The 25884-nt window shown below is 38.3% G+C and overlaps 1 protein-coding gene across 18 annotated transcripts in view; it reads right to left on the bottom strand.

The window, feature by feature from the left end:
• The window catches only part of SPEF2 (sperm flagellar 2), a 196749-nt gene that overhangs the window by 69089 nt on the left and 101776 nt on the right, over positions 1–25884 (bottom strand). For all 18 annotated transcript variants that reach the window (XR_925655.3, XM_011514136.4, NM_024867.4 and 15 more), the window contains 3 exons: positions 17700–17848; positions 5477–5604; positions 5256–5394 (listed from right to left, as the gene is read on the bottom strand). Coding sequence is in view for 17 of the 18 variants with exons in the window: in XM_011514136.4 (XP_011512438.1) it covers positions 5256–5394; positions 5477–5604; positions 17700–17848 (416 nt within the window). In the remaining variant the exon portion in view is untranslated. The remainder of the gene's footprint in view (positions 1–5255; positions 5395–5476; positions 5605–17699; positions 17849–25884) is intronic.

Here is a 25884-nt window from a genome sequence, read left to right as displayed (position 1 = left end):
GCTCCCATGCAAACCTAAGGGCCGGTCTCACTCCCACCGGGCCTCTGCCAACAGCCCCGAGTCTGTTTCCAGGCAGTGGGTGAGATGGGCTTGAGAACTTGTTCAAGGATACCCACCTCCGAGCTGTGAAAGAAAAGGGCTTGGGTCTTCCCCTACCTGAGGAGTCTGCACACCGGATGTGCACCCTCCCCCGAGCTCTGGCCGGGAGGCTTCTTGCCCAGTTCAAATTGTTACAAGGTTCAGCTAGAGATTTTCTTCTCCCTGTGGAGTTTTACCCCCTGCTCCTCTGGCCACCCTCCCAATGGAACCCTGTGATGCCCAGCAGGAATGGGCTGCTTGGGCACCCAGCGAGCTCCCAGTGCCTTTCTGCTACTTCCTCTACCCCTGTATTTCGCTCAGCTCTCTAAATTGACTCAGCTCCAGGTAAGGTTAGAAACTTCTTCTGTTAGTTAGAATATATCAGTTAGAAACTGAAACAGACTTTCAGTTTCTCCAGTGGGGGTGTGTTCAGGAGAGGAGGGTCTCCCTTTCCCACTGCCGCACTAGGGCACTCATAGTATTTGGGGTGTCTCCCAGGTCCCGCAGGAGCAGTCAGCCTCCTTCAGAGGGTCTGTGAGTCCTCTCGGGATTGCTGGTTTGTTCTTGCAGTTGATCTGGAGCTAAAATTCACAGTGCAAGCCTCCACACACTGCTCTGTCCAGAGCTGCAATCTAGTCCTGCCTCCTGTCTGCCATGATGATCCAGTTTTTTTGTTTGTTTGTTTGTTTTTTAGACAGAGTCTCCCTCTGTCCCCCAGGCTGGAGTGTGCTGTGGCGTGATCTTGGCTCACTGAGGCCTCCACCTCCTGGGTTCATGCGATTCTCCTCTTTATATATTTTTTAAAGAAAGGAGAGGACACAGCAGAGGAAAAAGCACAAAAGCAGGGCTCTGGAGACCTTGATTCTAGTTCTTTTTCTCCCACGGACTCAGTGTGAAACCTTTGCAAGTAACATCATGTCTGTGGCTCAGTTTTGTAATGGACAAAATGAGAACAATGCAACAGCAGAAGCTCTCTATTAACTTCATAGGATTGGAATGAAATAATTGAAGAACAAGGAATATTACCAGGGATAAAAAGGGATTAAAGCAATGAGGTTTTGTTATGCACTTGCCCAGAGACATTGCTGGTTTTCACACTTTATTTAGCAAGAATTAGGGAACTACTAAGTATTCCTGAAAAATCAGAGACGTATTTAAGAGAGATTCATAACTATTAATTGAGAAGATCATGCAGACTAAATCATTATAAATGTCTATTCTTACAAAAGTTGTAAAGACTTTCCACTGGGTAAAAACCCACATTCAACTTATGTGGTGCTTACTAGAGATACATAAAACAAAACGACACAAAAAGGTCAGTGTGGAAACTTATATGACCACATACAAATTAAAAATAAAGCAAGGTTTATGGTATTGATATCAGGTAGAAGTCAAATTTAAGACAAAAAGCACTTAGGATGCAAAGATTTTATACCATAATGAGGAACAGGGCAACTTGGGCACAGAATCCCACTACTGCTTACTATGTTGGCTTCTTTACCATATTTGTTCATCTATAAAATGGGAGTATTACTAGTGCCTGCCTCAGAGGGTGGTTGTGGGGATGAAAAAGACAGTGCCAGAACATAGTGCATGCTCAGCATTTAGCTATTACTGTTGCTGCCTTAAAACTGATGAAAATCAAAAACTGTAGCAAGGAAAATGGATAGAAATGTAATAGTCACAGGAGTTTTTCACTTACTTTCACCAGTTTTTACAAGATCATCTAGCTATAAAAATGTTAAAAAAAAAAGGAATAGAGTGGTTATTTCAATCAGAATTACCTGTACCCTTTTAAAAATAAATGTGATACAAGGATTTATACTAAATCTAATGAGTTTGGTCATAGGGCATGAAGCAAAGGCAGGTTTATTTATTTTTTTAACTTAACTTCAGAAGTTTCTCTACTGTATACTGTTGCTGAAGATCCACTGCTAAAAATGTTATCATATCTTTGATAAGGTGGATTTGGCCAAAACTTACTGAACCTTCCAAGTAGAAATTTTGTATGTTGTTTTCTAGTATCCATGGATATTTTCTAATATCCAAATTTCTACTCAAAGTTTATTTTTCTTCCCTTGACTATTCTTTCTAGAGGTTTCTCTGCCTTTATTGCCTGGATTGAATTTTAAGTTTAATATGTTTTATTTCCAAATTTTAAATTTAATTCCAAGTTTTTAAGAATTATCCTCATTAATTCCTTTCTCCTTTCCTCAGCTTTATTTTCTAACTTCTTTTTGAAGTTATATTTATTTCTATTCTTCCATGCCTAATAATAAGTGAAGAAAAATAAAAGGGAGTGTGTCCACCATATCTAACCACGTAGCTAAATATCCACATATAATATATATGTATATATTATATGTAAGTCTATGTTAATATATTTTAGAGTCTTCTCACATCATTGGATTAACTTTCTGAAAAAAATAAAATGAGATTCCTATTGAAGTAACATAATACTTTAAATATTTAAAAGTAAAATAAAGAACTATAAAATTATTTAAAATTGTGTTACATTTCTATATAATCTTGGGGTGAAGTATTTTTTAATTGATCACAAAAAAAGCTATAAAGGAAATTTCCTTATTTATCAATATAAACATTAAAAACCTTCTGCATATTAAAACTCATCTCAAACATCAAACTGGGAATATATATATACTATATGATCAACAGATGGCTTGTTTCCTTAACATATACAAAGATCTTAGAAGTCAGTAAGGAACAGAGCATGCTCCAGCAGAAAAAGGGGCAGAAATCACAAACAGGTTTCAGGAGGTGGAAAATAAATGACCATTAAACTTAGGAGAAAATGGTCAACTTCCATTGTAAATTGAGGAAAAAATGTAAATTATAGGAATATATTCATATTTTTACCCATTAAATTGGCAAAGATTAACAAAAAAGAATCTAATATTTGATATAAATCTAATAATTTAGATTTAAAATATTTGTATAATTTAAAATATACAAATCTGATATTTGCATAATCTGTTAGTTGAGTAAAATTTACAAGTTCTTACTGTGTAAAGTTTTCAAATTTGTAAATTTTTAGTATATTTTAAAAACCTTAAAAATAAGCATAATCTTAAACAAGTTTCACTTAAAAAAGTTTGCCCATAGAAATAATTAAGGATGTGGTCAACAGTTAGCTGGATGAAATTTTACTGTAAAATTCTCTGTAATAAAATGTTGGTGCTCAAGAAACTGTTAATAAGCTGGTGACTAAACATAGAAATCTGTAAAATAAATGATATAGTCCACTAGTCATATCCTTTAGTCATAAAAATGATGTTGTAGATGAATGTTTATTGAAAAAGAAAACATGTTCTATTGACTTAAAAAGAATGTTACAAAACAATACATATTTTGCTATCAAATTTTTGTAAAAACAACCACCATTGACTATTAGGGATTTGTCATTTTAAATTTTGCTTCTTATTATCTAATTTATCTACAATAAACATATGTCGCATTTGGAATTAGGAAAAAGGAAATCCCAAATAAGATATTTTAAATTTCCAAATCCTCTCATTCTCTGCCAACAATCACCTGACTAACATGGAGGAAGAAGTATACAGGAAGGCTGGCTTTATGAATAGGTAGGAAAAAGAAAACAGAAAAAAAGTTGTAGGGTTTATATAGATATGAATTACTCTTTGAGGAGTGTCAAAGAATAGGCAAAATACTTCAATTTTACCAGGACATTTGAATACCTATTGGGTTAAACCCTTCAGCAACCACCCTATCACCCAAGCCACAATGACGCCTTGCTTCTATTGCAAAAGTTTCCCATCTGGTTCCAACGTGTCTTCCTGCTGTTTTTACTCTACTGCAGACTCTTTTAAAACCAGATAGCAATGCTTCCTGTCTCACTCAGATCAATAGCTATATTCTCATAATAACCTCCAAGGACTTAGGTAATCTGGTTACCCAACAATCTCTCTGACCATATCATCAGCCAACTGTTGCCTAGCTCACTCTGCTCCAGACATACCAGCCTCCTTGCTGTTCTTCAAACACACCAAGTGTCCTCCCCCTTCAGTGCCATCGCTCTTGCTTTCATATGTGCTTCATACACCCTTTCTCCAAATATTTACATGGCTTACCCAATCACTTCTGTTGTCAGTCTGTTCAAATGTCGCCTTCTCAGTGAGATTTTCCACAGCCACTGTTTACAAAATGGTACATCCAACGTTCTTTTCCCCTTGCTTTGCTTTCTTGCTCTCTACATAGCTCTTATGACTAAGGACACATTCACTATATGCTTATTTGTTTATTGCTTATTCTGTGTCTCCTGGACACAAGGATACAAACACTCTGTGGTCACAGATTTATTTTGTTCACTGCTGAATCCCTAGCCTCTTTAATGGTGCTAGGACCATAATAGATGCTCAATAAGTATTTATTGACCAAATGAATGGGGCATGGGTTTGAGATTGGCAATGTTTTAATTACATAAATCAATATTTAGGTTATAATCAGTTTTGACTGTTAGTAATCTATACTTAAGGTAGTGGCAAGGTATCCCTCTGATGGGATAAGGGGGGGTGTGTCAATTTAAAATGAAAGATGAAGGGCAAGAGAATGAAATCAGGCTTTTTGTACATCAGAGGCCCCTTTCTAAAGCATCAGGGTAATATAATTCACTCATGACTTTATGAAAATCTGCTTGTTATTGTGCTTGCTGGGGCACTACCAGGAATTGTGCTTGCTGGAGATACAAAGATGTGTAGTATTTAGTACCAGCCCTTAAGAGATCTATTCAATAGAGGTAATTCTAGGTTTTCCATGTCATTCCCTCATTCCTCTTCTCCTTGCTATCAACAAAATGTGTAACTGTGCTCAAGAAAGGAATGTGATTAACATCAGGCATAAGCACAGTTACATTGACCCACAAAGAGACTAAGGGACTAGAAATCTACAAGACAGATGCCCAGAATGTTCTCGCAGTGCGGACTTTGGCCCCTCTTTCCAGAAGTGTTGCTATGGTATTCTCATTCTAAACTCAAAGTGCGGAAAAGCCACTGCTCTTGAAAGTTACCTGGTTAATAGTTCAAACCATTTTCTTTCTCATCCTCATACTTCACAAAAGTAAGGAGCAAATGAGTTGGGGTTTTGCAGGACAAGATATGAAAGCCAGCTAACCCTGTCCCAATAGGTCACTATTTCCTTACATTCACTCGTTGATGTAGTTCAGCCTTTGTTTCCTCATCATCCCACAGGTCATCAGGAAGGGAGTTGAAATCAGCCTGCCATTGAGCTACAAAATCTTGCTTGTGATCCGGACGCTTTAGAAACTCCTGGAAACTTGTTCTGTAGACATTAATAGAATGAGATAAATTTTATATGTCATGCCTCTAAACTGTAAAATTCTGACTTTGGAAACATTACTTACCTAATCTCATATAAGTAAGCAAGCACAGTATGCTGGTCTTCCCTCAGATGCCTGAGTACTGTTTTGATGGTGTTTATATAGGAATTTTCTATTAGTTCCCAGTAAGGTACTAAAAACAAAGGCATTTCCTGTTAAATGGTAAAGTGTAGAAACTGTTACTTCAAAATGAAAGTTCTTCTGAATAATAGTGTCAAAAGAACAGTCCCAAGCAAAAAGGTCAAGATGCAACTGCAACTACATAAAGCATTCCCTGTGAGACTTCTTGCTCCTCTTCTCTCACACGCCTCCCACTCCAGCAAATTCATATTCCAAATAATCCTCCATGTCTCAGCCCAGATATTATTTATTCCAGAAATTGGGGGCGGGCGGTCGTGGTGGTGGCTCATGCCTGTAATCCCAGCACTTTGGGAGGCCAAGGTGGGCAGATCACCTAAGGTCAGGAGTTCTAGACCAGCCTAGCCAACATCAAGAAAGCCTGTCTCTACTAAAAATACAAAAAATTAGCCAGGTGTGGTGGCATGTGCCAATCCCAGCTACTTGGGAGGCAGAGGCAGGAGAATTGCTTGAACCTGGGAGGCGGAGCTTGCACTGAGCCAGGATCATGCTGTTGCACTCCAGCCTGGGCAACAACAGCAAAATTCCATCTAAAAAAAATAACTGTTTATTCCAGAAATCCTACCCAGATACAACAAGTCTGCAAGGTCATCCACTGAGGTTCTGAGGTTCTCCCTTAGCATCCTGTACTTTTCCCATCATAACACTGATGACGTTAATTGTAACATCATCATTTACTTGTCTATACTCATCTCTAGAATGGCAGTCCCATAAACACAGAAACTGTCTTGTTTACCATTATAAGAAGACTCTTCAAAAAGTTTATGAAAAATACATATTATGAAAAAACTATGCATGAATTTTGAAATTCAAAATTCAAAATTTCAAAATTAATGCATAGTTTTTATAACATGTTTGAACACATCTGAAGACGATGTAGTTTTAGACACTGAGAAAGACGAGGTATCAGTTTGAAAAGAGCCTCTATCTGAGCAACATGAATTCTGCAAAAATTGAAACAAGAACAAACATCAAATTGCTGGTAAAGCTTGGGAGGAAGAATGGTGAAATCATTGATGCTTTACAAAAAGTTTATGGGCACAATGTTCCAAAGAAATTAGCAGTTTACTAACTGATCTTAAGAAGAGACGAGATAATGTTGAAGATGAAGCCTGCAGCAGTAGACCAATCCATATCCATTTTCAAAGAAAAAATTAACTTTTTGTGCCCTCACTGAAGAGGACCAATGATTAACAGCAGAACAATAGCCAACCCCACAGACATCTCAATTGGTTCAGCTTGCACAACTCTGACTAAAAATTAAAGTTGAGCAAACTTTCCCCTAGATGGATGTCAAAACCATTGTGCCCAGATTAGCGGCAGACAAGAGCAAAGCTTTCAATAGAAATTGTTAACAAGTTTGTCAAAACTTGTTAACAATTTCTGTTGAAAGCTTTGCTCTTGTCTGCTACTAACAATGATCTTTGACAAACCTGACAAAAACAAGCAATGGGGAAAGGATTCCCTATTTAATAAATGGTGCTGGGAAAACTGGCTAGCCATATGTAGAAAGCTGAAACTGGATCCCTTCCTTACACCTTATACAAAAATTAATTCAAGATGGATTAAAGACTTGAATGTTAGACCTAAAACCATAAAAACCCTAGAAGAAAACCTAGGCAATACCATTCAGGACACAGGCATGGGCAAGGACTTCATGTCTAAAACACCAAAAGCAATGGCAACAAAAGCCAAAATTGACAATTGGGATCTAATTAAACTAAAGAGCTTCGGCAGAGCAAAAGAAACTACATCAGAGTGAACAGGCAACCTACAGAAGGGGAGAAAATTTTTGCAATCGACTCATCTGACAAAGGGCTAATATCCAGAATCTACAAAGAACTCAAACAAATTTACAAGAAGGAAACAAACAACCCCATCAAAAAGTGGGTGAAGGATATGAACAGACACTTCTTAAAAGAAGACATTTATGCAGCCGAAAGACACATGAAAAAATGCTCATCATCACTGGCCATCAGAGAAATGCAAATCAAAACCACAATGAGATACCATCTCACACCAGTTAGAATGGCAATCATTAAAAAGTCAGGAAACAACAGGTGCTGGAGAGGATGTGGAGAAATAGGAACACTTTTATACTGTTGGTGGGACTGTAAACTAGTTCAACCATTGTGGAAGTCAGTGTGGCGATTCTTCAGGGATCTAGATCTGGAAATACCATTTGACCCAGCCATCCCATTACTGGGTATATACCCAAAGGAGTATCAATCATGCTGCTATAAAGACACATGCATACGTATGTTTATTGCGGCACTATTCACAATAGCAAAGACTTGGAACCAACCCAAATGTCCAACAATGATAGACTGGATTAAGAAAATTTTGCACATATACACCATGGAATACTATGCAGACATAAAAAATGATGAGTTCATGTCCTTTGTAGGGATATGGATGAAGCTGGAAACCATCATTCTCAGCAAACTATCGCAAGGACAAAAAACCAACCACTGCGTGTTCTCACTCATAGGTGGGAATTGAATAATGAGAACACTTGGACACAGGAAGGGGAACATTACATCCCGGGGCCTGTTGTGGGGTGGGGGGAGGGAGGAGGGATAGCATTAGGAGATATACCTAATGTAAATGATGAGTTAATGGGTGCAGCACACCAACATGGCACATGTATACATATGTAACAAACCTGCACATTGTGCATATGTACCCTAAAACTTAAAAGTATAATAAAAAAAATCATAAGAGAGACAAGGTGAAAGAAGAGAGAACAGTGGTGAGTAATGACATTTAATATACGTAAGTTTAATAAATGAGGATATGACAAAAAAAAAGAAATTGTTAACAAGTGAGGTCAAGATTCTAAAGCATTTCTTCAAAGAATTTGTAATAGGAGATGACATGTAGCTTTATCAGTATGATCCTGAAGACAAAGCACAATCAAAGCAATGGCTACCAAGAGGTGGAAGTGGTCCAACCAAAGTAAAAGCAGACTGGGTCAAGAGAAAAGGTCATGGCAACAGTGTTTTTTTTTATTTTTTTGGATGCTCCAGGCATTTTGTGAAGTTTCTGAGGGGCCAAAGAAAAATAACATCTGCTTATTATGAGAGTATTTTGAGAAAGTTTGCTAAAGCTTTAGCAGAAAAACAACTGAGAAGCTTCACCAAAGAGTTCTTCTCCACCAAAACAATTCTCCTGCTCATTCCCCTCATCAAACAAGACCAATTTTGTAAAACTCTTGATGGGAAATCATTAGGCATCCATGATATGGTTTGGCTCTGTGTCTCCACCCAAATCTCATCTCAAATTATAATCCCCATAATCTCCATGTGTCAAGGGAAGGACCTGGTAGGAGGTGATTGGAGCATAAGGTGGGGTTTCCCCATGCTGTGCTCATGATAGTGAGTTAGTTCTCATGTGACATGATGGTTTTATAAGTGTTTGACAGTTCCTCTTTCACACACACACACACACACACACACACACACTCTGTCACTTGCCTCCATGTAGTTAATATGTGCCTGCTTTCCCCTCTGCCATGATTATAAGTTTCCTAAGGCCTCCCCAGCCATGTGTAACTGTGTGAGTCAATTAAACCTCTTTCTTTTATAAATGACTCAGTCTTGGGTATTTCTTTATGGCACTGTGAAAACAAACTAATACAATCCACCTTATATTTCTGATTTGGCTCCATCTTTCTTCTTTTTCTTAATCTTAAAATATCTGTAAAGGGTATCCATTTTATTTAATAAATAATGTAAAAAAGACTGCATTGACTTGGTTCAACTCTTGGGACCCTCATTTCCTTAAGGATGGACCGCATTGTTGGTATTATCTCCTACAAAGGTGTCTTAATCTTGAAGCTTACGTTGAGAAATAAGGCTTATTTTTTAATTTTATCTTTTAATTCAATTTTTCCACAAGCCTTTTGAAGTCCTCTCATGCCATCTTTTCTTTAATTACCATAGTGTTTGGGACATAGTAGTCCCTGAAGTAATAGTTATTGAATGAATAAATTGAATCATCACAGGTGACACATTTTGTCTCAGTTAGGAAACTGTCTAGCATGAAGAACACGTAGTGTTCATATCAGTGTGATGATGAGTTATTTCTCCGATTACATTTAGAAGGTTCTTTCATTGCTGTGTGCATAATGAAAATCAGAAAGCTTCTTTTATATTTTATTTAATAATGCAAATAAACAATCAAAACCAAGAAATAATCTAAATGAATAAAGCTGAGGATCCATATTATATTTAGTATATTCTTGCTGTACTCATTATTCCCTTATTGGCTGCGCATTTATTCACTCAGGGAATTACACATGGAGACCTTAGAGGTCATCTGGGCTAATTTCCTCTCCAATCAAGAAATGCCAAATGCTACAGATACATTATCTAATCTCCCTGTGGACCTCATGTATGTATCAAGCACAGAATTTCAAGGCAGCCTCCTTCAGTGTTGCACAACTCATGTTACTGGAAAACTTTTTCTTCTGTTGAGCAGAAATTTGTCTTTCTGTAATTTCCACTCAGTCCTAGCTATTCTCTTTGGAGAAGGACAGACTACATTCACACTAACTTTCTTATGGCAGCCTGTCAGATATTTGAAGACTGGTAACATTAGTGAGGAGAGAGTAAGACTGGGATTCAGGATACATGAGATCTGATCCAAGTCATTCTATCATTACTTATGTGTCTTACTTTGTCCAAACCAATGAGTAAATCAACCAAAAATTATTCACTAAGTGGTCATCCTATGTAGGTAGGTACTTTCCTAGGTACTAGAAATTTTGTGGTGAATAAGGCAGAGTTGCTGGCTTTAGGAGCTTATATTCATATAGAAGATAGGAAACAGTGAAGAAGTAATAAGTAATTAGGAAAATCAGTAAGAAGGTAAGTAGTAAAGACCTAGGCAACTTAATTAGCCAATAAAAAAGCAATTCATGGCCGGGCGTGGTGTCTCATGCCTATAATCCCAGCACTTTGGGAGGCCAAGGTGGGTGGATCTTGAGGTCAGGAAGTTGAGACCATCCTGGCCAACATGGTGAAACCCCATCTCTATTAAAAATACAAAAATTAGCCAGGCGTGGTGGCATGCACCTGTAGTCTCAGCTACTTGGGAGGCTGAGGCAGGAGAATCGCTTGAACCCGGGAGGCGGAGGTTGCAGTGAGCTGAGATTGCAGCAGTGTACTCCAGCCTGGTGACAGAGTGAGACTCTGTCTGAAAAAAAAAAAAAAAAAAAAAGAAAAAAAAGAAAGCAATTCACATACTAAGTGTTGTGAAGTGACAGAGGTGCTGCTTTGTTTAGCATGGTCAGGAAAGGCCTCTTCATTAAGCAGCATTGCAGTTGGCATTGAGAAGAAGGAAGATTTAGGGCAAGCTTGTCCAATCCATGGCCTGTGGGTCACAGGCAGCCCATGACAGCTTTGAATGTGGCCCAATATAAATTCGTAAACTTCCTTAAAACATTATGAGATGTTTTTGTGATTTTCTTTTTTTCAGCTCCTTAGCTACCATTGGTGTTAGTGTATTTTATGAGTGGCCCAAGAGAATTATTCTTCCCTTGTGGCCCGGGGAAGCCAAAAGATTGGACACCACTGATTTAGGGGAAGAGCACTCTGAGCAGAAGGAACAGCAGATGCAAAGGCACTGTGGTGGGAATGTTCTTGGCATATGTAACGGAGAGAATGCAGGCTAGTGTTTGCAGGGCTTGGTGAAACAAAGTAGGACTGGAGAAAGATGACATCTGAGAAGTGGGTAAGACCCAGTTTCTGAACCATTCCCAGATTCTATCCCTTCCTCCCTCTTTCCCTATGTCATTGCCTTCCTTCAAGCCTTTATTAGTTCTTGTCTAGAGCAGTATAGGGGCCTCCAAACAGGTCTCTGTGATTCCTTTCAATATCCTTGAATTACCTTCTATTCTTAAAACAATGAACACTTATTTAGAACCTACTTTGTGCCAGATTCTGTTTAAAGGGCTTTATGTGGACTAACTCATTAAAGTCCTACAACAACTTAAAAGATATGTTTCTATTACTCTTACTATTTAAAGATGAGGCAATTGAAGCAACAGAGGTTAAACAGCTTGTACAAGGTCATGTAGCTGCTGAGTGACATAGCTGGGATTTGAACATAGACCAGTCACAATCCACTTTTTTTTTTTTTAAACAATTCACTGTACTGTCTCTCTGAGTTACTGTAGTGAAAATTATTCCAACATGTTACTTTCTTGCTGAAAAACATTCCGTGGTTTCCACTACCATGCAGATGAAGTCCAAACACTTCAGCACAGATTTTAAGATCCTTCTAAATCTGGCACCTGCCTTCCTGTGAACTGCCTCCTAAAGCTGTGTCCTTAAACCTTCTGCTCCTGATGCACTGAGACAATCTCTCAGACTGAGATTCTCTCTTCCTATAATATTCCCTACCCAATGAACTCATACTTTAAAAGGTAATTTGCAGTGAGGGCCTTTTTTGATATTCTAAATAAAATGTATTATTCCCTCCTCTAAGTTGTTATGACAGTTTACAGTCTTGTTATAGAGGAAACTACAAAACTGTGTTGTAATCCCAACACTTTGGGAGGCCAAGGCAGGTGGATCACGAGGTGAGGAGATCGCGACCATCCTGGCTAACACGGTAAAACCCCATCTCTACTAAAAATACAAAAAACTAGTCGGGCGTGGTGGCGGGCGCCTGTAGTCCCGGCTACTCAGGAGGCTGAGGCAGGAGAATGGCATGAACCTGGGAGGCGGTGCTTGCAGTGAGCCAAGATCATGCCACTGCACTCCAGCCTGGGTGACAGAGCGAGACTCCATCTCAAAAAAAAACAAAAAACAAAAAACAAAAAAAAACCTGTGTTGTAATTGGTTGCTTACAGAAATTCCATTTGTCAGGGGGGGATATGTTCCCAGACCCACAGGGGATGCCTGAAACTGAAGATAGTACTAAACCCTATATGTACAATGTTTTTTCCTATGCATACATTCCTATGATATAATTTAATTCATAATCAGGCACAGTAAAATATTAACTAATAATAAAATAGAACAATTATAACAATATACTGTAAAAAAAGTTATGTGATTGTAGGCTCTTTCTTTCTCTTACTCAAAATACCTCATTGTACTGTACTGTGGGTAATTGAAATCATAAAGTGAAACTGCAAATAAGGGGCAACTATTGTTTATGCCTCTGTCTCCAAGTAGACTGTGTCCTTGGACATGGCAATTGCAGCTTGCTTGCTTTCATGTTCCCAGAACTGAGTACAGCATTTGCACATAATGGGTGCTCAATAAATGTTAATATGGATATAACCAGGCTCATTTGAACCCAGTTTTATCATCATATTAAATTTTTTGGAGACTGTATGGCTCCAAATAGTTCTAAAAGCCTAAGATCGTATGTCTAACCGTACCTTAAGGGTTCATGTATCTAAATTAAACATTTACAGTTCTTTTAATGCCCCTCTAACATTATTTCAACACCCTTTCCTGACCTACTTCTCTCTCTGGTTTCTAGTTTGTCATAATCTCTCTTAAAAAAAGTGATATCCATAGTGGTGCTAAAGACCATTTTTAAAAAGCACACCACTAAACCTCCCTCCTGGTCAACTTCAATCCATTAATCAACACTGTGTGCATGAAGAGTTGCCTCCTAAGAATGGGTCGAACTGAATTAATATCCTGCTCACAGCCCTCATTTCTCTACAATGATTTCATGAAGAAATTGTCAAATACTATTTTGAACTCAAGAGATACTACATCTATGGTACTCCCTGATCCCCATATCCAGCCTTGCTCTCAAGGCTAGAGCAGGAATGGGTCAGCTCAACAAGACTTATTCTTGCTGTGCAGGCTCCAAATGATCATCTTTATAAGTGCTCAAAAGTAATGTGTTTAATAATTTGCTCTTAAATTACAACAATAATTAATGTATAAATTATTGGTCTGTATGTTACTAAGTCCCACTGCCTTTTCTTAAGTATTTAGGCATTTGCCTGCATCTAGTTTTCTGGAATCCCCTGTACCCTCTGTGATTTCTGTGAGTCATGGATAATGTAATATCTGTAGGTTCTTCCAGCCCCTGAGATGTAATTTTTCTGGTCTTGGAACTTGAACTTACAGATGTAATGAGGTGCTCAGAGCTGTACTTTGCAATTAAATAGTTTTCCCTTTGTTAGGGAACACAAAATCATAGTAGGAATTCAGTAGCCAAGGCAGTATTCTCTGAAGTTTCAGAGACCCTCACTTTACACAGGCATCATCCAAGTTCCTGAGAGGAGCCTAGTAATTTGCTCACACAAGCAACAGATTCATCTTCAAGTACCACTGGTCAGGTCTTCTGTCTTTTTCCAATTTGACTTCCTCTCTGTCACATTTCCTTCCATAATGAGTTATGAAGCTAAAAGAAAATGTTCTAACTATCAATACTAAAAAATCCAATGAAGCTTGCTAGAGGGAAGCCTCAATTATCTTTCTGTTCTCTCTATAGGAAAATGAGCTTACAAAATCATTGTCATATGTAAAGACCTGCAAAGATAAAGAATAATAGAGGGGTACTGGGCACCTAAAAAGTGTTTGTGTGCTTGTCTGTTTCTTCCAGTTATAAAAATATTTCTTAACTGAATACAAATCAGTTCTAAATAAATATTGACTTCATGACTGATTCTGTATTTGCAATTTTGTGCTTTTTTTCTTAAAGAGGGTCCACCAAGTCTTTAGGACTCACAAAACCTTATTACTACCATTGATTAATTTGACTTCATTTCTTTTCTCATTTAAGATGATTTCAGGTTACCCAAGCTGGGTTTCCATTTTCAGTCTTCTATTATCTTCTTAGACAATGTAACTACAAATCTTTTCATTTTTGGCATTTTGGCAGAGACATATACACATACCCTTGACTGTATTCTTTCAATGTTCAAGTGCCTACGATGGGCTAGACACTCACTAAATTCCTATCCTTTCATAATTTTCTCTAATTTTTTGAGTATCCCCCGCCTACTGCTCTTCTCCCCTGTAAAATGCCCTGGGATCACATTAGTTTCTTTGGTACATAATCGGGATTTTAAGGGCAAATTTTCTTCTGATTTGAGCCCATCCATTTCTCTTAGAGCCTTATTCCTGTTTAGAGGCCAATTATGATTTCACTATAGGTTTGAAATATGCTTTCCTGATAACTAGGGCACATGTTTCTTATGTTCTGCCAGATCCTTCCTTTACTATTACACCTCCTTTATTAGTACTTTCTCCTAAATGATTGATCATTTCCATTTACCTAACTGTCCATGTTTGTTGGTCAGTACTAAATTCGAAGCAGAAGTCCTCCATAGCCCCCTCTATATTTTGAACGTTGAAATTGTCAGCAAGGCCAGTAGAGAATTGATCAAAAGCTATGCTTTAATCTGAGTTATACTTTTGGCCGTAGAGTCCTATGTCTGTCAGCCTCCTGAAGGAGGACAGGTTTCCAAACTCAGCACACATGGCCCTGTGGCCCCTGGGCCCAGTTTCAGGGAGGAGTGCTGCTACAGGTTGGTTGAATGTGAGTGAGGGCACTACATGGGCCACATGGCCCGAGGCATGGCTGCCTCTTTTCGTGGAGTCCTGGTCTTGGGAGGCTGCTCTTGTGACTCTACAGGCTGGAAGCAAAGACCTCTCACTCTAACTGCCTTCTGCGTTCTCTCTGCACCTTCTCTTGTGGCTGGCAAAAGGAAGAGATCCCAGGATCTCCTCACATTTGGCTGCTACCTGAATGCTATATGGAAGCAGCCTCTCTTTTCAATCTCTCTCCCATCATTTGTCTGTTGAAGTAAGGTTTACCTGGGGCCCTTAGAAGGTCTGGAAACAGGGTTACCAGATAAAGTACAGGATTCTCAGTTAAATTTGTTTAACTGAAATCCAAGTTGAACTGGGCATCTGTCTTCCCCTTCCTTGGCAGGTGTATTAGTCCGTTTTCATGCAGCTGATAAAGGCATACTTGAGACTGGGAAGAAAAAGGTTTAATTGGACTTACAGTTCCACATGGCTGGGGAGGCCTCAGAATCATGGTATGAGGTGAAAGACACTTCTTACGTGGCAGCGGCAAGAGAAAATGAGGAAGAAGCAAAAGCGGAAACCCCTGTTAAGCCCATCAGATCTCGTGAGACTTGTTCACTATCACGAGAACAGCATGGTAAAGACTGGCCCCTATGATTCAATTATCTCCCCTGAGTCTCTCCCACAACACGTAGGAATTCTGGGAGACACAATTCAAGTTGAGATTTGGGTAGGGACACAGCAAAACCATATCAGCAGGTAAACTCGGCAGTTCACGTGTGGGGAGTCCAGAGTGGAAACGAACTAGACTGGGCATGTTTTGCTGTAGCAAAAGGTGTTTGCTACCTGGCCTTACATAGGAAATGAGAGGTCTGTGTTGCACATCTTCCATGTCCCTTCACACCAGTTTCCTTCATCTTGCTTAGTGCCTGGGGAGGCTAATGTACGTAAGTACTTCAGGAAACTCCCTCGCCCTCCATCTTCTTGGCCAGAGTATTTTTCTGCTCCTGTTTGCAGGGTCGCACTGCATCCCTCTGGGGAAGGCCACAGCTCTTGTCAGATGGCCCTCTAAGTGCAGAAGTTCTCTTGAGGCCCAAGGATCTACTTCCTTTCTGCACCTCCTCAGCCTAGGGGCCATAGTGACCCCCAGCTGTCCCTTGTTGGAGGGGAGGGAATAATCTAATCCTTGTAGGTTGCCATACTTATTGCCTTCACATGTGTAAATAGTCTTTTATTCTACTCTCCTCAAATTATCATGTTTTCTATAGAATCCCGAATGCTGGAAGATCTACATGGAGCTGGTGCCATATTTCAATGTTAATTTTGTTTTAAAAAAAGTCCTGTTTTTTATTTCTCTCTTGTCCTCTATAGATTTATTTCTTACAAGGGCTTCAAGTTTTGGAGTTAAAGAATGAATTTAGGTGTTTTTGCCCCACATTCCCCATCACTTACCATATTGTATCATTTTAATTTTATCTTATTCCTAACACCCACTTCTATATCTTGCTTCTATGGTAAGTTTTTGAACCTACATATATATTAATATTAGTATATATATTAAAGTAGCTTCTGTTTGGCTGAGTGAGGTCAATTACATACCTCCATAATTATATCACTTAATGCTCTCAATTTTAAATATTTTCTGTTCTAATTTCACTCTCAATGCTAATTAATCAATTAGAAACCTATCAAGAATCTGTTACATACTCTCTACTGTGTTTGTGTTGAATACATTGAATTATTCCATGTTCCTACCCTCGCCAAAGAGTTTATAATTTAATTGGGAGAGAAGACATATCCCTAGGAAAGCTCAATAATAACAGCAACACCACAATTGTTGCATTTCATAATTGGGTCTCAAATGCCTGGCACAGATGGTTGCTACTGAGTTCATCAGAATAAGAGATCATTGCGGACTGGAATGAGGGAGAAGGAGACCTTGTCTTTTAAAAAGCTCTTTGCTGTTTAAAAAGTTTCAAAGGAAGGACCATTCTGTGGACTTTCTGAGAATTCATCTGTCAAGCCAACTAAAAATAGTAGATGGCAACTGGGCCTTGCGAGTTGAGCTAGGCGGAGCTTTCAGCGCTCCTCTGGGACATCTCCTTGCCTTACACCAGCATACCCATTAACGTTCCCAGGTCAGATAGCTGTCTGTTCTTTCATGGGTTTAGTTAGCTTCAAAAATATTCTTCTACTTCTAAAAAGTCAAAGGTTAAACTTCACTTAAAAGCATTGTGATGGGGATATTAAAATATGAATAGAAGGCTAGAAATTTGCTGGATATGTGTTCTGGGGAAGTCATTCTTCCAGGAATCTGCATCTCTGTGTGTTCTTGAGAAGAAAATTGTTCCTCACAGAACCCATTTGTTCCCCCCATTTTAGCACTCAATAGCAGTTCAAAGCATGACTCAGAAACTCAAGTAGGAGAAAGGATGAGATATGGGTCATTGAGTAGTCTCTAAAAAAAATCTCAGATGGATAGATATATATTACCTGCTGTAAAAGGCCTTCAGGATGTTGCAAATGACAGTGTGAATCTTACTATATGCAGGAGAAAGAATGAATTCTGCCAGCTTGATTCTAAATGGCCATACCTCAGGAACTGGTTCATTCACATAGACCCATTCTTCTGATCCTGGCTTAGGTGGCTGTGGCACTATTGCAACAGGTGATGTATCTGTAGAGTCAGCAGGTGATTTCTTTACTGGTACTTTTCCTCCTGATGATTTTCCTTTAGGAGAACCTTAAACATGCATATCAAATTATTCCAATACAAGTAAATGAATGGGACAGAATTCTGGTAGATGAATACATCTATAATTACCATGGACTTCAGGTGATTCATTAACTACTTTTTAAGCTTTTTTGAGGAGTCTTACAAAAAATCCTTATTCTCCACAGCCCCCAAATTAACCAATAATATTAATAATAGTAAATGTTTTAAAGCAATCCAACCTATCCAAGTGGCTAATATATTTGATATTTTATTTTCATCTGTCCTTGCTTTCAGAATGAACATGTGACTTTTATAAAGTTTAGACTCTAGAACAAACTGTATTCCACTTACTATTTCAAAAACTGGCAAATTAAACTCTCCACCTTGAATGAGAAAGAAGGTAGCTAGAACATGAGTGGTGCTCTTGGTATCCCTTGGAGACCAGGTTAGAGGGCAGAGAGAAAGGAGGATGTTATAAGAGTCAGCTGGAGTAGGTGAGGGATGCAGGGGAGGAGAAGAGGGGCTGTTGAAGCCCCTGAACATTCTCTGCACATGACACAGCGTTTCTGTGGGGAAATTATATTTCTTGCTACAGTTAGGGAATAAAGATGAAGGTAGTTGCTGTGGCATAAGCCTGGCAGAATCAAGTCATGAGAGAAAGCAAAAGGAAAAGAAAGGGAAGCAAAGGAAGGGGAGGGGAGGGGAGGAAAGGGGGGGGGTGCTTGGGAAGAAAACGAGAAAGAGGAGGTCTAATTTTCAATTCAGAATCCGAAAAGGACATTCACTTCACTTTCCCTGATAACATCAAGAGGGGAATCTAGATCTGTTAAGTGGCGCCCTATGGTATGAACAACCTTGGTCCTTAACTCAGAGAGCACTAATATTCCCTGAAAAGATCAAGTTATTACAGTTTGGAAATTCACTCCGTTTAAAATTCCACTTACCTTTAGATTAATTATTGAAATTTTTAGATGCAGTTTACAGACACCTGTAGAACCAGGAGCACTTTCTTCCTCCAAAATATATCTTTAATGAGTATTATTTAATGATAATGCTGTTTAGAAAAGCAAATACATCTTCCGCTTTTATGTTAGTTAAAAATAAGTAGATTATAAGTAGAGGAGAAATTGTTAATTATATCTTGTGGGCAGTTTAGGTGATCTCTACTTATATATTTAAAAACAGTATCTATTATCTATAGATCTGAAGTTATATCTAAATTATATAAAATTTAGAAAAATTTAAGAAAGTCTTTGTTTAGGCAGTAACTGACAATTTTCACAATTTGATATGTTTTTCTAAATAATGATTTTCCTTTGACCTGAATCTCTGGTGAAGTACAAATGATAACTCTATGATCAATTTAAAATGAATTTATCTAAGCAAAATTCCTAAGAAGAAGAACTTTGTAATGATAAATTAGAGACTGGAATGAGTTTCTTTTTCTTTTCTTAAATATCATGATCGTTCAGTGAAAACTGAGAGAGTCGGAATATTTCTGGACTATTGTGCTTTGATTCCATACAACTTTTGTGTAACTTTTAACAATGAAAATACTGAAGGGCAAAATATTTGAATGAATAAAAATGTATCTATGCGTTAGTGAATATTCACTTTTGAACAAAATCTTTATCAACATCTTAAATGTAACAAGCTGCATTACTTTTTAAGTACCATCCATGCAACCATATGAAGGCTTCATTTTCTAATAAGATGTTTGCTTTCACTTGTAGAGTTGGATCATTGAGTCCTCAGTGTAACTATTCCTCATGCTCATGGATGAAAAGTTTGGAAAATAATCTATGGATTAGCATATGGTGAAGGTACATATTACCAATTTTTTTTGTTGTAAGAACCTGATAGTATCACACAGAAACCCATGGCACTGCAATGAGTATAAATAAAAATAAAATGCAGTAAAAAGAGAAATTCAGTTTTAGAACACTGGATTTTAAAAATCAATGTATAAATAAAGAAATAATCAAAGACAAAGTGACACAGCAGTAGATTTGAGCAAAGAGATAATAATAGGAACTCAGTGAAGGTCTGAGTAATTAAAAGTCAAGAGCTGGAACCAAAATTTACAACTAAGAAAGTAAACAGTTAATTCTAAGATAAGAGGATCAATTGATGAGAGGACATTAGGAAAACCAGACACTTTCAAATTAAATTGGCCTTCCTCAGGGAGGTGAAAGGATTGGGAGGTTAGAATTGTAGGAGGGAGGAAAAGATAGGGAAAGTCTGCTTTATGTGTTTGTTGTTGTTGTTGTTGTTGTTTTCTTTTAAGAAAGGCATTATTTTTACCTTTCTGTTGCAAAATATATCCTCTAGGACTTAAATTAATTAACAGCTTCACTAGATAGAAACCAGATCAGTTAACAGTGATAGCTTTCTTATTGCCTTGGGGGTCAACCATGTTCAGCAAAGAACAACTTTTTGTTAACAGTGCTAATGGCTGCCTGGGCTGCCAACAATGGCAATCAAAGTGGAGATTTAGAGTGTCTTAAATAAGATGAAAATTTTAGCTCAGAAATGGACCAGACTGAAGCAACATGACCAGGAAGAGAAGAGGTCCGGTGTTAGGCAAGGAGCCAGAGACTGAACATGTGTTCTCAGAACTCACGGTTGAAAAACTATTCTGAAAAAGCTCATGGAGGGAAAGCTTTCTCTGCTTACTGTCCTAAAATTTATGCTGTTACTCTGCGTAGAGCTGGAGATACAGAATGTGGACAACTACAAAGTAATGAGACTGGTTATCTGGGGTTGCTTATAAAACCTAATTTTAGCACCTTTATAATCAATAACAAGAGGGAACTCTCCAGGTCAGCTTTGCAAAGGATTCCCCTTTCTGCCCTCTGTCTTTAGTAACTTGGTCTGGGGCCAATAATAATACTCCATATTTATTTACAGTTTATTCTGAGCCAGACCCTGTACTATTTACTTTTTTGCACATGTACTTATTCTTTATAATAGCCACATGAGTAGATACTCCTATTACTCCATTTCACAGATGAGGAAATTGAGGCATATTAAGGTACAGTAACTTGCCAGAGGTAACCCATATATGGTAAATGGCAGAGCTAGAATTTCAGTCTAGGCGGGCTGGCTGTAGACTCCATGCTTTTGATTGTCATACTTCATTGCCTTTTAGTGTCTATTGATGTAGTTCATATTGATAAATGTTCTTTTGATTCATACTTAGAAGTTTGCAAACTCAGAGAAGTTCTTATACTACTATTTACTTGGCTCATTGATTTTAAGATTATTTTTATTTATATTGCATACCAATTTTCTTTTTGGAAAATTTCTGGTAAAATTTTTTAAACTTCAGTCTGATAAACAGATTCATTAAGAGACTCGTACTTAAGAGCAGAAATATTATTTATTTAATTTATTTAAACAATTGTAACATTATTGAGGCAAAAGTCAGGGAAGTTATGAGCAATTTAGTGTGCAAATTAATGTGGGAGGGTAGATAATATTCTCCAAAGAGTGAAGAGGCTTTTTGTTTTCTTCTCATAGGTTAACAGTTCTTAACAAAACACTTCTTTATTCATTTTGACTCTCAATTTCCTCATCTTTGACATGGTAAAATGATAATTTCTACTTCATAGATGATTGTGAGAACTTAATGAGATTATATATGTAAATCATCTTGTGTAGTGCCTGGTACATAAAAGGTACTTTATAAGAGGTAGTTTGTTATTATGCTTATAAATTGTATTATAAAAGAAGACTATGGTTGAATTTCGCTACCAGAACCGTGATCAATCATAAATTAATTGCCAGCTTTTGTATGTGTGGCATCAACCTTCCAATGAAACCCAATGTATTTTGCATTTGCTATAAATCTATGACGACCTTGCATATTGTGCCACATACTGTCCTCTGTTAAAGGTCTCAGGTGATAAAAATCTATTTTAGAAATTAATCCTGTTAAAATTTAAACCCATCATACTTCCTCCATCACCTTGTCAGGTTGTTCTGATTAAGGAGTCATCACAATAAGCATTGTGTCTTTGAGCTGAATGTGCTAATTTCCTCATTTCAGGGCTTTGGATTTTTATTTCTATTTCAACAGCATTATTATAAACATGTTTTTTATTGTAATTTAACTTAAATATTTGGAGGAAGAGGTATATTATAAATAATACACCAGAAATCATTGAATGTTTCTGATTTTCCAGTGGCTACAATAGAGCAGTCAGCCTTGGGCTCCAGTAAAGTAGTTCTCAAATGTTAGTGATCATCAGGATCCTCTAGTGGGCTCGTTAAAACACAAAACTGCTGGTCCCCACTCCTGGAATTTCAGATTTAGTAGGTCTCGGGTGGGGCTGAGTATCTATATTTCTAACAAGTTTCCAGGTGATGCAGATGCAGATGCTGCTGGTCCCAAAACCATACTTGAAGAGCCTCTGCTCTCATAGATGATCTAGTTATTTCAATTTCCTTTCACTTTTGTCTTTTTTCCTCTGTTCTTCCAGATCCTTCAAATTAAATGGCATTAATGAGACAGCCAGGTGGGAGGGGGTCCCTGGACCAGCCTGCTCACTGGGGTGAAGCCTTGGGAAGTTCATGCCATTTGTGTGGGGAGGAGCCTGGCCCCTCTTTTTCCTGTGTGGAACCTGGGATTCAAACTGCCTGGCCTTGCAAGAGTTCCTGTTTCCCTCTTTTTTCCGTTTTAACCCAATAAAACCCTGCTTTACTCACCCTTTAAACCATCTGTGAGCCTAAATTTTGATGGCTGTGGGCAGACAAGAACCCCATTTTAGCTGAACTAAGGAAAAGTCTTGCAACATTTTTGGCACCCAACATGGGACTTGAGAAGCAGTGAGTGAAATGGGGACTCAAAACCATGGAATACTATGCAGCCATAAAAAATGATGAGTTCATGTCCTTTGTAGGGACATGGATGAAATTGGAAATCATCATTCTCAGTAAACTATCGCAAGAACAAAAAACCAAACACCGCATATTCTCACTCATAGGTGGGAATTGAACAATGAGATCACGTGGACACAGGAAGGGGAACGTCACACTCTGGGGACTGTTGTGGGGTGGGGGGAGGGGGGAGGGATAGCATTGGGAGATATACCTAATGCTAGACGACGAGTTTAGTGGGTGCAGCGCACCAGCATGGCACATGTATACATATGTAACTAACCTGCATAATGTGCACATGTACCCTAAAACTTAAAGTATAATAATAAAAGAAAAAAAACCTTGAAAAAAAAAACAAAAAAAAACCTCTCACTGTTGCTTCTAAGACTTTTCATCCTTGGACTTCTGAGGGTGGGGGAAACCAAGTCCCCAACCCCCATGAATCCCATGTCTTTTCATGGCCTTTTCGTTTTTTCTACTGGATAGATGGGTGAGCATCAGCTCCCCGATGCTCCCTGCCCCATGCCAGGGCTGGGACGCATGGTCCCAGGGTCCTGACCAGCTGGATGGCTGGTTCCCAGCCACAAGCCACCACAGCCTTCCCCTTCCCCAGCCAAAGGGTTTTACTCCATTGGACAGTAATTGAACACATCTCCCTGGTGGAGGAACAACTTGCATAAGAGTAAGAGGTTCTTTCCCAGACATTTTTAAACTGTTTTTTTTTTTCTTTCCTCTTCTCCACCCTGTCAGCAGTTAACCTTTAAAGTTTTTACCCCCCTTTACTAGGCCAGGCCCTCAACTAATACTGTTCATATTTTCTGTAAAGCTTTAATTCTGAAAAAGGATTTGTGGGGCTAGTCTTGGGCTGTGGCCAATCTTGTGTGCTTTTCATGTCCGTATGGTTTGTGCTGCAAGCCTCCATCTTGCTTTACATCCTAGGGGCATAACCACTTGGCAAGGCTTTGTTTAGCAATACTGTGTTAGGGGATGAGCCCTCTCTGGTTCAATGTCTGCATGTTTTCCTAACTCTGTCTCTTAAAGGACCCCACCCAGCAACTGGATTTTCTTCTGCCTGTCTATGTATGTACTGTGTGTGATGTCTGTGAAAAGATCTCTAACTAATTCGGCCTAAAGAAAGACAAGCACTTGGATCAAATACTTTTTTTAAGGCAAGTTAAAAGCTGTGGTACCTTTCACTTCACGTGACTTTAATCTTTAAGAAGTAAAAACAGCCCTAAAGACTATTGGTAAAATCCAGGTCAGATGCAAGGTTTGCTAAGTGTTTTAAGGTTACAGACTGCTTTTTGGGTTTTGAGAACTATTTGACATGCGGCTTCACAATTGGTAAGGTCTGGGCACATATGGAACTAACCACACCCTTAATTAAGAAGGCAAACCTTGGCTACACTTAGCCCACAATTAAAGCAACTCACCAAGCTTTACCTTAAAGTTAAAATTGATAGGAGTTAACTGAAACTACTAGAAATAGATTTACATGCAAGATGTGTAAGAACAGTAAAATGTGTGTTTTAGTAAACAGTTATAAGAAGGCATGGAAATGTAAACCTTTGCCTAGGGTTATAGGATTGTATTGAGTGAAATTAGGAAAAAGCTGAAGGTTCAAAGAAGTGGTAGAATAATTGTGGAAATTAATCTTGCAGAAAAGGTTCTCTGTGTGAACATATTAACTAAATTCCAAAAAGGGTATTATATGGTTTTCCTGTAAATTGAACACTGAAATAAAAGCATAACAAGGTTTTCCTAAGGCACTAATCTGCTCTTTGGCAAAATTTGTAAAGGGATATAAAAGGTTTTTGCTTCTTTAAAATTTCTGAGTCATCATTTTGGCAAAATAAATAGTTTATGGTAATCTGGAATTCTATTCAATAATATCAAGTGCTTTAAACATATTTAAAAGGCTTCCCAAAATCAAACTTCAGTATCAAAATTATCTTCACTGGCACCTGGCTTTTTGAATACTTCAGAGGGCCCCTGAAGTGTCCAGAAAAGAGAGGTAAACAGGATTGTTTGACAGGTTTAGGTACGTGGGATTGCCAAAATGATGCTCAATCTTCTTTAGGTTATATCTTGATGAATAATGCTAATATATGTTCCAAAACTGTATAAAATTTCTAAAATTCTAATGTCTAAGTATATGCTATCAATCATAATTAAGGTTGTTATGTTAAGTTATTGAAAACCGTGGAGAAAACCAAACTTCTTTGTCAATCATGTTTCTAACTGTAACTACCCTGGACATTTTGCTATCCACAGACAATTGTTGTCTTGTTTTAATCCTTTTCAAAGATAGTTTATAATGAGCTATAGAATTTTAACAGATGCTCTCAAACACAGGTTTCTGATAACTTTGGAGATTGTGACACTGGAATAAAAAAACATACAGGACTCATGAATAGCTGAAATGTTCATAAATATCAAGTGAAGCAAGAACTAAATGGACTGAACTCAGAAAGCTGAAGCAAACTTTTTGACTTTGCTTGGAATATTGCTGATCCTTATTTTGTTTTTCAGAGTCAAGGAAACTTATTTTGACTATTTATGGCCTTTAATAATTAAGGAGTAAGCAAGGTATACTCCTATGATCAAAATTTGGAGCATGTTTGTTTCTCTCTGCCTGGTTCCTCCAGAATTTAGAACCTATCTATGAGTATTCTTATGGAAATATAGTTGTTTGCATTAGTGCAATAAAAATCCATTTTTCTTTTGCAACAGGACACAATTGGAGAAAGTGGTTATTTTACCTAGGCTTTGACTGGAAGGGTATGCTTCCCTTTAAGGAGTAAATCTCTACTTGCAGAGCCAATAAAAGGCTCATACCTTCGTCTACGCAGTCCTTGTACAGGGTTCCTGACCTGTGGTCAGTAAAGAATGTCACTCTCTGGCTGGGTGCAGTGGCTCACACTTGTAATCCCAGCACTTTGGGAAGCCGAGATGGGTGGACCATGAGGTCAGTGGTTCCAGACCAGCCTGGCCAACACAGTGAAACCCTGTCTCTATTAAAAATACAAAAATTAGCTGGGTGTGGTGGCATGTGCTTATAATCCCAGCTACTCGGGAGGCTGAGGCAGGAGAATCGCTTGAGCCTGGGAGGTGGAGCTTGCAGTGAGCCAAGATCACGCTACTGCACCCCAACCTAGGTGACAGAGCTAGACTCCATCTCA

This window comes from Homo sapiens, chromosome 5 (genome assembly GCF_000001405.40).
Source record: "Homo sapiens chromosome 5, GRCh38.p14 Primary Assembly".
NCBI lineage: Eukaryota > Metazoa > Chordata > Mammalia > Primates > Hominidae > Homo > Homo sapiens.
This window is presented reverse-complemented; position numbering and strand designations above follow the sequence as displayed.